The sequence below is a fragment of the Homo sapiens genome, chromosome 6 (genome assembly GCF_000001405.40).
Source record: "Homo sapiens chromosome 6, GRCh38.p14 Primary Assembly".
Classification (NCBI taxonomy): Eukaryota; Metazoa; Chordata; class Mammalia; order Primates; family Hominidae; genus Homo; species Homo sapiens.
In genome coordinates, this window is record NC_000006.12 from 137,810,814 (window position 1) to 137,823,668 (window position 12,855).

At 41.2% G+C, this 12,855-nt stretch overlaps 4 annotated features.

The window, feature by feature from the left end:
- Positions 629-888: an enhancer, noted in NCBI's record as "active region_25146". NCBI's record gives its function as "activates an Ori minimal core promoter by ATAC-STARR-seq in GM12878 lymphoblastoid cells {active_cell/tissue: GM12878}" and the evidence as "EXISTENCE:reporter gene assay evidence [ECO:0000049][PMID:35858748]".
- Positions 919-1,038: an enhancer, noted in NCBI's record as "active region_25147". NCBI's record gives its function as "activates an Ori minimal core promoter by ATAC-STARR-seq in GM12878 lymphoblastoid cells {active_cell/tissue: GM12878}" and the evidence as "EXISTENCE:reporter gene assay evidence [ECO:0000049][PMID:35858748]".
- Positions 4,982-5,031: an enhancer, noted in NCBI's record as "active region_25148". NCBI's record gives its function as "activates an Ori minimal core promoter by ATAC-STARR-seq in GM12878 lymphoblastoid cells {active_cell/tissue: GM12878}" and the evidence as "EXISTENCE:reporter gene assay evidence [ECO:0000049][PMID:35858748]".
- Positions 5,362-5,451: an enhancer, noted in NCBI's record as "active region_25149". NCBI's record gives its function as "activates an Ori minimal core promoter by ATAC-STARR-seq in GM12878 lymphoblastoid cells {active_cell/tissue: GM12878}" and the evidence as "EXISTENCE:reporter gene assay evidence [ECO:0000049][PMID:35858748]".

The following is a 12,855-nucleotide window of genomic DNA, read 5'->3' on the forward strand; positions in this document are numbered from 1 at the left end:
GCTACTTATCTATAGATTCTTTCTGCTTTAAAAGTGTAGCATAGCTCTAGATCCACTGTTTGCCCAAAAACTTCCCTTATCTACCTTGCCCACACTAAACTCCCCTTTCTCTGAATGCCCACAACACATCCTCTTGACATTGCTATTTTGTAATCCATCATGTTCTTCCTTGAAACAACTCTTAAACTCTTACTTACCTTTCCAAATGCTTACATCTTGTTGCCCCCAACTAGATAGAGCTCCTCAAGGATCTTTTCCTGTCCATTTGCCCCATACTCCCTTGCAGACTTGGCACACAAGTTCTCATATATTTCTGGTTTTATTGATTAACTAAAACACTTCAATTTCTCTCCCTAAACCTCTGGGAAAAGGGAAGAACTCCCCAAAGCGGACAACCACACTGACAAAGCCAATGTTCTGCTTCACAATTCGGCATGTGACCGTCCCTGCCAAGACCCCAGAAATTAATTTATTATTTAACCAAAGCCAGTGATTATTGCATAATTTCATCCTTCCAATCAAGAATGCTGCTCTTTATTTAATGACTGAGACCTACTTACTTAGCTTCCAAATATGGTAGTAATTACTTGATATACAGATTAATGCATTCCCAGGCTAGTGCCTTGCACAGAACTATCAAATATAATTGGGGTTTCTAACCTTGTGACACAGCCCTACAAATTGCCTTCTTTATTTCCTTTTCTTAAAAAGTACGTTCAGTCTACTCTGGACTTTCCCATCTGTCGTCAGGTGACTTCCTGCTCTGTTAGCTGACCGTGAGTCACGTCGTTGCTGCACAGCACGTTCAGTGAGGCTGCCTCTGCGTGTGAGGCGACCAGGAGAGGAAAGGACAGACTTGAGCTATCAGACCTCTCTCCTGGTGGGATATTGTTTGTTTCCCCTACCCTGTTCATTTAAAACCTCTCAGTTATAAGCTTTGCTCCTCAGTTTATGCCTCTGTGATGATGCTTCAAGAGACAGGGAAACCAGTTTCCTACATTCCAAAATAAAAATGACATTTTAAAAAGTCTATCCTTTTAGGCAATGAATCATTTATCCGGGCAACCCCTTTCGTCAAGGGTCTTCTTCCTTTCAGCCACATTTCGGGGATGTCTTCTGTAAGGCAAACGGTTGTGACCAAGTGCGTACTCTGGAATCCAAATGATGCAAGTAGAGTTGAAAAGGAATTTCAAAATTACAGGAAAGGAGCTATGAGGGTAGAGAGGATGGGTTTAAAATACAAATAAGGAAACTTTGTGGATTGGGGAAGTCATTGGAGCAAAATAATGGGGAAGTTGGAGGCTCAAGAATAAACAACGTCTAGAAAGTTAGAGGAGTCTGGAGGGCACTTTTGCCTTCTGCAAATATCTTGTATATTATTTTGCTACGTGGGGGCTTAAATTCATTCTCATTAAAAGAAGATAAAGGAACAGTAACACTAGCCTGTCTCATCTGATGTTTTTAGGTTTGTTTGTTTTTATTATTATTATTTCTTTTTAGAGACAGGGTCTTGCTCTGTTGCCCAGGCTGGCATGCAGTGGCATGATCATAGCTCACTGCAGCCTTGAAATTCTGGACTCAAGCAATCCTCCCACCTCAGCCTCCCAAAGTGCTGGGATAATAGGCATGAGCCGCCATGCCTAGCCTGTTTTTAGTTATTATTTATTTTTTCTTTTTTGGGACAGGGTTTCACTATTTGGCCCAAGCAGGCTTAACACACTTCCACTTAATATGCTAATAAAGTAATCAGTATTTGGATAAAAAGTTGGCTAAACATAGAAATAATAATCTAAACTCAATGTAATAATTTACAGATCATTTGGGGATTCTAAACAGGACACAGACATCTATTAGCTGAATAATAACTAGCATGTGTATAGCCAACTTCTTTATGCCAATCTTTCTGGATTGGTGATATTATGGATTTGTGTTGGAGAAATAAATGTATCCATTAACATTTTAGATCAGCACTTTTAAGCCCCAAATAAAAAAGGATATGCATTGATTAGGGTTGTATCTTTACAACATTCAATGAAGTTATTCTTGGCATCCTGTTTTGGAGAAATTGGATCTGCACTTGTAGGTATGTTTACATGTCTTCTTTAAATAGAAGATTTCAGGTTTTTTTTTTCTTCTCATAAGGCCTAGTGATATATGGGTGCTCTTCAAATGTTCATTTTATAACAGTTTAAAAATCTCAGTAATGTAGAGTGGGAATCTAGTACTATTGAATTAAATTGGAAAGCTCTGCATTTTTATTAAGGAAAAGCTTCACCAATTATTTAGAATGAATTGCTCCAAGATTCTCCATTGGCTTTCATTTAGGAAGACCCTGTCATAGGGTTTGGACATCGTAGTTGTTTCTGGATTACTATGGAAATATGATGGTCATTCTCTAAGGCTGAACCTATTATTCCTAGAAAGGAGGTGAGTAATAACATCTTCAACTAAAATCAATGTGGAATCATAAGGAAAAATCTTGTGAATCTTTCAATTAAGAAGAAATCACCTTTTAAGGTAACATATTCTGTAGACAATTTTTCTGCCTTCTTCAATATGACCTTAGAGGGCTAGTTCCAGTGACTAAACCCCCAACCAGGCAAAGCTAAAATTCTGTCTTGACTCAAAAGCAGAATTCCACTACCTGAGTCACCTACAAAACTTCAACAGCACCCTGGATTTTCCTGAAAGCATCCCCAGCCAAGGATTGAGCAGGTTTAGGCATGTTCTCTTATGAAACCAGCTGATGACACAGTTACAGGGACTATGGCTCAAAAGTTATGGGCTGGGTTAGTGCCAACCCTGGTATAGTGCCCTCCATTAAGTACTGAGAATGCTCATCTCTAAATATCAAGACACTGTTTGAGATGAAATATCTATGTGGACTGCTCATGGCAAACACACCACTTTTAGATCTATCCTTTCACGATATGAAGTGTATTTCATCCACGTTGGCTTAATTCCATCCAATTCCCATGAAGTACATGTTCATTTTCAGCTGCATTTGCTCATTTGCTTTTAATACTTCTTCTCTCTGGCTCGCTTCTAGGTAGAGAATCATTTCTTTTTTTATATACTTTAAGATTTAGGGTACATGTGCACCACGTGCAGGTTAGTTGCATATGTATACATGTGCCATGTTGGTGTGCTGCACCCATTAACTCATCATTTAACATTAGGTATATGTCCAAATGCTATCCTTCCCCCCTCCCCCAACCCCACAACAGGCCCTGGTGTGTGATGTTCCCCTTCTTGTGTCCATGTGTTCTCATTGTTCAATTCCCACCTATGAGTGAGAACATGCAGTGTTTGGTTTTTTGTCCTTGCGATAGTTTGCTAAGAATGATGGTTTCCAGCTTCATCCAAGTCCCTACAAAGGACACGAACTCATCCTTTTTTATGGCTGCATAGTATTCCATGGTGTACATGTGCCACATTTTCTTAATCCAGTCTATCATTGTTGGACATTTGGGTTGGTTCCAAGTCTTTGCTATTGTGAATAGTGCCGCAATAAACATATGTGTGCATGTGTCTTTATAGCAGCATGATTTATAATCCTTTGGGTATATACCCAGTAATGGGATGGCTGGGTCAAATGGTATTTCTAGTTCTAGATCCCTGAGGAATCGCCACACTGACTTCCACAATGATTGAACTAGTTTACAGTCCCACCAACAGTGTAAAATTATTCCTATTTCTCCACATCCTCTCCAGCACCTGTTGTTTCCTGCCTTTTTAATGATCACCATTCTAACTGGTGTGAGATGGTATCTCATTGTGGTTTTGATTTGCATTTCTCTGATGGCCACTGATGATGAGCATTTTTTCATGTGCCTTTTGGCTGCATAAATGTCTTCTTTTGAGAAGTGTCTGTTCATATCCTTCACCCACTTTTTGATGGGGTTGTTTGTTTTTTTCTTGTAAATTTATTGGAGTTCATTGTAGATTCTGGATATTAGCCCTTTGTCAGATGAGTAGATTGCAAAAATTTTCTCCCATTCTGTAAGTTGCCTGTTCACTCTGATGGTAGTTTCTTTTGCTTGCAGAAGCTCTTTAGTTTAATTAGATCCCATTTGTCAATTTTGGCTTTTGTTGCCATTGCTTTTGGTGTTTTAGACATGAAGTCCTTGCCCATGCCTATGTCCTGAATGGTGATGCCTAGGTTTTCTTCTAGGGTTTTTATGGTTTTAGGTCTAACATTTAAGTCTTTAATCCATCTTGAATTAATTTTTGTATAAGGTGTAAGGAAGGGATCCAGTTTCAGCTTTCTACATATGGCTAGCCAGTTTTCTCAGCACCATTTATTAAATAGGGAATCATTTCCCCATTTCTTGTTTTTGTCAGGTTTGTCAAAGATCAGATGGTTGTAGATATGCGGCATTATTTCTGAGGGCTCTGTTCTGTTCCATTGATCTATATCTCTGTTTTGGTACCAGTACCATGCTGTTTTGGTTACTGGTAGAGAATCATTTCTAAAACCCAGTATAAAAATCAGCCTCAAGCAGCCATCACCTAGAGGAGGCTGGAAATCTCAAAACTAATTAGAGCGGGCCGGGGGCGGTGGCTCACGCCCATAATCCCAGCACTTTGGGAGGCCGAGGCGGGCAGATCACGAGGTCAGGAGATCGAGGCCATCCTGGCTAACACAGTGAAACCTGTCTCTACTAAAAATACAAAAAATTAGCCGGGCATGGGGGCGAGCGCCTGTAGTCCCAGCTACTCGGGAGGCTGAGGCAGGAGAATGGCGTGAACCCGGGAGGCGGAGCTTGCAGTGAGCCGAGATCGCGCCACTGCACTCCAGCCTGGGCGACAAAGCGAGACTCCGTCTCAAAAAAAAAAAAAAAGAAAGAAAATGATTCATTTTCCCCACCAATACTCCCTGCAGCCTGTTAAGGTCAAAGCCTCTGGTGGAGGCTGCACAGGTAGTGATATGGGAGTATTGATAACTGTTCTTTCTTCCCCAGTGACTGGTATGGGCCTTCACTGGAATATTTCTCTCTGTCAACTCTGTGCACGGGGTTGAGTCCTGGCCATGATAGTATGAATACTGTCATTCAAGTTTCCCCTGGCCTTACCAGACTGTACAGATAACAGGAACCACCCCAACTCAAATTTCCCTGGTTTTTTCCATAGCCTGGGGATGGTGGACCTTTAATACCCTGTAAGGTATCTTTCAAATATTTCTTGAGGTCCCTACAAGGTGTCTCCCAGGTACTGCTGCATAACATCCCTCCTCTAAGCTGGCCCATGGCTTCTCCTGGCCACTGGCTGGCCAGCAGTGTCTCCTGTTTGCCCCTTCCATGTACTTCCACAGCTGAGGCTCAGGAAAGCTGCAGATGTCCAAGTGACACGGCATTCTCTTTTAAGTAGGAGGAGCGCTTCCTTCCCCTACCCCCTCATGCCAACCACAATGAGGACACCCAGCACTGATGCCCAGCAATGTGGCTTCTGCTCCAGTATATTACAGAGTTCGAATTCAGAATTTCAGTTTCCCTTTGTAGGCTGCTGACTGCTCAGAGGAGGTAGGCTTTCATTCTTAAATATGTACTGATTGCCTGCTCTGTGTAGATGCCTACAACGTGCACAGGGATGAGTGAAACCGCCAAGGACTCTGACCATGAAATTTTCAGCCTAGTCATGGAGAAAGATGATGACCAAGAAATAAAAGCAAATAAATACACAACCACAAATTGAGATAAGTGCTATGAAGGAAACAGGCAGAGAGGTGTGAGAGAAAATAACAAAGGAGCTACTTTCGATCAGAGGGTCAGAAAAGGTCTCCAAGCTCATGACAGTTTATAATAATAACTATTAATAGGACATATTAGAAATCCAGACTTGGAAAAAGGGAGGGGAGGGGTTTTTAGAAGAAATTTATTGGGGAGGATGGGGGTGGTACAAAGAGGAGGAGGAGTTAATATTTTGAGACATTACTATGACCCAGTAACATTCTAAGAACTTTACACATGTTATATTCTTTAATCCTAACACAACCCTATGTAGGAACTACTGTTAACCCTGCTTAACAGAGGTATAAGATGAAGCACAGAAGGGTTAAGTAACTTGCCCTTGTCACACAGCTACTAAGTGGTGAAGGCAGAATTTGAATCCGAGCAGTTTCAGACCCTAAGGAAGAAAAGACTTTGGATTATTTTAGCAACTTAAAGACCAGTGTGACTGAAATGGAAAGGAAAACGGGGAGGGAAATGGGAGAGAAATGGAGTTGGCAAAGCAGGCAGGGCCTAGAGCATGCATGGAAAGGTGGTCATATTTCATCCTCAGAGAGTGTCATGGCTGATTAATTAATGCTGCTCCAAAGGAACAATACTGTTCTGAGGAGCCAGCTGTGGTCATGAAAATAATGATCACCTCTATTACTTTCTTAGGCTGAGGTATTAGAAAATGAGAGTGCTTCCTTTATGCTGAGAAGAAGAAAGGAGCCTAAGATCTTGGGGATGGAATTACCCTCTCTGGCAGATAGGCCAACTTCATGCATAACCCAGGAAACTGCACCACTTCCCAGGACCTACCGGTAGCAACCCATTCCCTGCATTATAGAATGACGGATGGCCAAATTAAACAGTATTCCACCAGGGGGTGAGCACTGGGTTAGTAATACAGGGATGGGGAAGGGCATGGAGAGGAACCAGTTATCAGAGTGGGCCTCTCTAGGGGACAATCTCCACTTTGGCAGGAGCCGCCTGGGGAAACGCCTGTGTTCCTGGCCACGGGCTGCAACTCACAGCCTCTCTACGTGGCTGCCTAACTGGGACAATAAATCCCTGGAGATGAAGAAGAAGCAGTGTCTGGTGTACCCACCAAGTAAACTCTGGTAAGTTATATCCACAGGAAAAGTGAAGAGGCAACAATCTCTTGATTCTTAAGGTCAGCATCTTGTTTGGTTGCTCTCTCCTGAATTCTCTTAGGAGATTCCTCCCACGCTTAGGAAATCTCAAATTTGTCCCACAAAGAATATTAACTCAGTCTAGCCTCCTAAACTGAGTCTAACCTCATCTCTAGTGACATAAACTAGGTAGAATTGGGAGGGGATTTTCCAAATTCTGTTTGCTTGCTTGTAATGGTAAACTTTTCCTTTCTTTTTTTTTTTTTTTTTTTTTTTTTGAGAAGGAGTTTTGCTCTTTTTGCCCAGGCTGGTGTGTAATTGTGCGATATTGGCTCACTGCAACCTCTGCCTCCCAGGTTCAAGTGATTCTCCTACCTCAGCCTCCCAAGTATCTGGGATTACAGGCACCCACCACCATGCTCAGCTAATATTTTTATTTTTAGTACAGATGGGATTTCACCATGTTGGTCAGCTGGTCTCGAACTCCAGACCTCAGGTGATCCACCTGCCTCAGCCTCCCAAAGTGCTGGGATTACAGGCGTGAGCCACTGCGCCTGGCCTGTAATGGTAAACTTTTAACCGATTAACCTGTTCTTGCTTGTCGAGTAATGTGGACATCCATTCTCCATGTTTCCCTCTCCAGCAGCCCCTCAATTTCTGTTTGGGGATACGTATGATACCTGAGAGTCTAATTCCATCTGAGTGGCAAGAAGGGAACACGTGGCCTGGGCTAAGCCATCAGCACGTTCTATCAACCCCGGCCACAGTGACTGTGACCTAAGCCCATTTGTTCAGTGTGAGTCTCAGGATCTCTGCTTTGGAATACAAGACGAAGTTCCTCTCTCCCTCTTGGTGTATTTGAATAAGAAGCAAGAGTCATCTAGGAATCACAGAAGGAGGCTGACTTAGGATAGAGCCAACATCAAAAAAAAAAAATAGAGTTATAAAGAGCTATGTCCTGCATGACATCATTAAGCAGAATGACTCCCCACCTCATCAAAACCCTGCTCTTTCCAGGGATGAGAGTTGATTAAATTGAGCTCAACAAATATTGACAGAGTGCCTTGTCATGTGCCAGACATGGTATTGGACACTCACAATACGTTAGCGCATAAAACAGGTAAGAATCCCTGTCCTCAGGGAGAAGGAGACAGAAAATAGACAATAAGCAGAATAAGTGAAATAATAGCATGTTAGAGGAGGGTAAGTATGGTGGGGAAAAGGAAAAGAAGAGCAGGTAAGGGAGATGGGACTGGGTGAGTAGAGCTGGAGATGAGGCTCTGTATTCTTTAAGGTGGGGGTCTCTCTGCTACTTGTTATCTATTACTTGCTAATAAACCTACAACACCTTAGGACATTCTAAATACCTGTAACGTAACCCCTTTCCCCTAACACACACCCAGAGGTAAACATTTCTATAGATTTTTTAAAAAAAGAATTTTAGGCTGGGCTTGGTGGCTCACACCTGTAATCCCAGCACTTTGGGAGGCCAAGGCGGGCAGATCACGAGGTCAGGAGATCGAGACCATCCGGGTTAACACGGTGAAACCCCGTCTCTACTAAAAACTACAAAAAAATTAGCCAGGCATGGTGGCGGGGGCCTGTAGTCCCAGCTACTCAGGAGGCTGAGGCAGGAGAATGGTGTGAACCCGGGAGGCAGAGCTTGCAGTGAGACGAGATCACACCACTGCACTCCAGCCTGGGCGACAGAGGGAGACTCCATCTAAAAAAAATAAATGTATAAATAAAAATTTAAAAAATAAAAAAGAATATTAATTACATTTGTCTAAGATTTGGCTTGGGGAGGGACGTTATATTTGAGTTCTAGATAAAGGTTGAATTCATCAGTTTTGGAAAATACATATCCACATTTTGGGGGCAGGGCACGGGAATTAAAATGTTTCCATTTCAATCCTGTAGCACTCTGACATAAATTATGCTGCTTTCCTGAAGCAGCAAGGTTCTTTTACTCCCATTGTTTTCTGCTTCTTGAAATATACAAATAATCACCTGTTTCTGTTTCCAATATTGATTTATGGAAAATGCATCAAATTAGTATTGACAATGCTTTACAACTTGAGAAGTTATATTCTGTGACTCTGATTTTCTCAGAGACCAACTTGCAAGAACTATAATATTGTAACTGAGTCAAAAGCTGGTGAGCAAGAAGGTGAACAAGAAAGCAAGCAAGAGCAAATTAACTTAATATAAAGATGTCTCTTCCCCCAACTGTTCTGAGTACGTGGCTAGTGGCTTCCTGTGAAGGAAACACTTGGTTGGCTCTTGTCTTAGTTAAGACTGGCATTCCCCCTTTTGTACAACTCTGCGATGCTGTGTAAAGGAAGAAACTATCACCATAGAGACTTGGGTCTCCTGCACATTCAAATGATTATCTAGGAACACTAGATAATCTGTCTCTTGCCATAGCACTTACTTTTTAGCAGTCATCTCTTCATAGGCTATACATTTTTTAAAAAGGTCCAATGCCAGACAAACTAAAGCTGTGCTCTGATAGTGCCAGAAAGACACACTTACAAACATGGCCAAATTAGCCTGGTGGGCTTTCATGCAAATGCCCTGTGCCTTTACTGTTTCAGATCTCAAGCTTTCCTTAGATGCTCAGAGTTCAACTTCAGTGAAGTTGCTGCTGAACAGAGGCACACAGAGCCAGGGGAGTGAGTGGGGAGAAGCATGGAAGCAGAAGAAGGTACTGTGCCTTCTCAAAGTCTGTGAAAAGAGACACCTGAGATCATTGGGAAACAAAAAATCTACAAATCATGGTAAGACAATTGGTCAGTACCTTTAGCAAAAGAAAACCCTCCCCTCCTGCCAAATGACAAATTAAATTATCAGTGGATGAGACTCAAGTACATGTGCACATAAATGCACATACACAAGTACACGCACATGCACACACACACACCACACGTGCACACACACACACATAGGCAAAGAAATAAAACTGTATACATGCCAAAAATAGCTGAATATTTATTTAATCACTGCTGTTGAAGAGCACTGTGAGTTTGTCATGTAAGAAATCCCATGGGAAATGATAACAGACCTGACCACAGAAAAATGGTAAACTTCTGAACATTAAGAAGGGCACAGACTAAAATACAAACATCTACATAGAAAGATCTACAGTAAAAAATAAGAGATAATCATCTAATATCTTCTGAAACATAGAGCTTATAAAAATTGATTCGAAAAACATGAAGATTTCAGAATAGAAATGGACAAAGGACACAAGACAACTCACAATACAGCAAATATAAATAAATAAAAAACAGATGGAAAATGTTCATCTTGTTACTTAACAAAGGCAAAATTGAAACAGTAGTAGAGTAATTTTTCTTACTATCAAGTTAGCAAAAATAATTTCTTTGCCTAATCATGTTGATAAGAGCACAATGAAACAGGAAATCTCATAAACTGCTTGCAGGAGTATAAAACTTTCTGGAAAGCAATGTGCTGTTTCCCAAGAGGACTCTAAGGGTTTGTATCCTTTGACCTAGTAATTCTGCTTCCAAGAACTTATCATCAGAAAGTAATTTAAAAATTCCAAAATATGGACATCATGCATAAAAGATGTTCATTTCATCATTGCTTATTAAAAAAAAAACGGAACACCCTAAATGCCTACTATTCATTTCAATATTTTTTGAGCACCTAATATGTGTCAAACAATGAGCTAGAACAGACACCAAACACAAACCAGTTATGATTCTTATCCTTCCAATACTGGGAGGAACTGCAGGTTGGGAGGAGATATACATTGAATTAAGTAATTATTACACTTGTTACAGGAATGCATAGCAGAGGCACCTAACCAGAGGGGGGTGACATTTAAACTAACTCCTGAAAACTATGTGAAAGTAAGCAGAAGGGGATGGCAGATGAAATATTCTGATTAATACTTCAAGAAGCAGAAACAATGGGAATAAAAGAATCTTGCCGTTTCAAGGAAGTATCATAATGTGTTCCAGAAAAAGGAAACAACATATTGCAAGTCCAGGAGGAAAAAAATTTGACCTAAATTAAGAGTGTCCTCATATTTCAAAGTGGCGATGAAGAGAGTCCAAGCATCTGTTGGGAAGATGAGACCTAGCAGGAAACACAGTGGAGTTGCTTTCCTCCTCTTCTTCTGATTAATTTCACAGGTTTTTCACATTTTTAGTTTAAATGTCACCTACGCTGGTTAAGTCCCCTCTGCTATGAACTCTTGTAGCAAATGTCATAATTACTTGATTAAATGCTTATCTCCTCCAAGACTGTAAGTTCTGCAAGGGTAAGAATTATATCTGCCTTGCAGATGGGTGTGGTGGCTCACACCTGTAATCCCAGCACTTTGGGAGGCCGAGGATCACCCTAGGCCAGGAGTTCGAGACCAGCCTGGCCAATGTGGTGAAATCCCATCTCTACCAAAAGTACAAAAATTTAGTTGGACATGGTGGTGCACATCTGTGGTCCCAGCTACTTGGGAGGCTGATGTGAGAGGATTTCTTGAGCCTGGCAGGCGGAGGTTGTAGTAGTGAGCCAAGATTGCACCACTGCACTCCAGCCTGGGTGACAGAGCGAGACTCTCTCTCAAAAAAAAAAAAAAAAGAATTTTATTTGTCTTGTGTTTGGTTTCTGTTCTAGATCAGTGTTTGACACATATTAGGTGCTCATAATGGTGTTAGGGAGTGACCCACCACCAGGAAGCACATGGGAGGATGGCTATGTGGCAGTGTTGAGGGACACTGAATCCGAAGTGCTGGGTCTTGAATTCATCAGTAAAAACATGAAGACCTGGCCCATCAGGAGGACCCACAAGGGAATGAGGAAAGGTCATCGTGTTGGACACACATCTATGGTCTGGGCCTGTCAGGCTCCAAGGGTTGTGGTGTGTGTGCACTTGTATCTCCAAGAGAACGGGAGTGACATCCCCAAACACAAATGAGGTTAACTTTTCTAAGGAACATTGGTTAGTGGCCAGGCGTGGTGGTTCACACCTATAATCCCAGCACTCTGGGAGGCCGTGGAGGGTGGATCACTTGAGGTCAGGAGTTTGAGACCAGCCTGATCAACATGGTGAAACCCCATCTCTACTAAAAATACAAAAATTAGCCAGGCATGGTGACACATGCCTGTAATCCCAGCTACTTGCGAGGCTGAGGCAGAAGAATCGCTTCAACCCAGGAGGCGGAGGTTGCAGTGAGCCGAGGTCACACCACTGCACTCCAGCCTGGGAGACAGAGTGAGACTCTGTCTCAAAACAAAACAAAACAAAACAAAAACCAAAAACATTGGTTAGTGTAGCCAAGAAAGATTTTTGACTTAAAAAATAAATCTGTTATCCATGCAGTGTGTTGATGAAAAAAAGAAGATAGTATGTGTTACAAATAAGATAAATATTACATAACCATTTGTAAGATTATTTATGAAGAGTTTGTAATGATGTGGGAAAGAGGTTATGATATAAAGTTAAGCAAAAGAAAAAGTAAATGCCAATTATAAAAATAGTATATTGTTAGCTTTGCTTAAACATATATACGCACACACTATCCGCAAAAAGCAGGAATATACTTCACTCTGTAAGTGGTGGTTATCTCTGAGTGACATTTTACAGGATGTTCCCCTGCTTTTTTTTTACTGTAATGTACATTCCAAATTATTAGATTAGTATATTTACTTTTACAAATGGTGATTATACATTTTAATAGTTTCAGAATGTTAAGATCTTAAGAGACTAAGCTTAGTTCTATAGCTAGCACATAGTAGCATTGCATAAATATTATTCAATCAATTAATGAAGTCATCACTTCATCGCAAGAGTGTACACAAAGTATTAGAACTATTAAAATGTTTGTGTGTGCACCAGCCCCATCAATTCTGAACAACGCCCTATGCCCTATCTGTCATAATTATATATTCTTATTTTTGGGGTCCTCACTCCTTAAAGCAACATTGTTGTTTCCTTCATTGCTTCTCCCCAAGCACAGAAGCAAAAAAAAAAAAAGAGATCA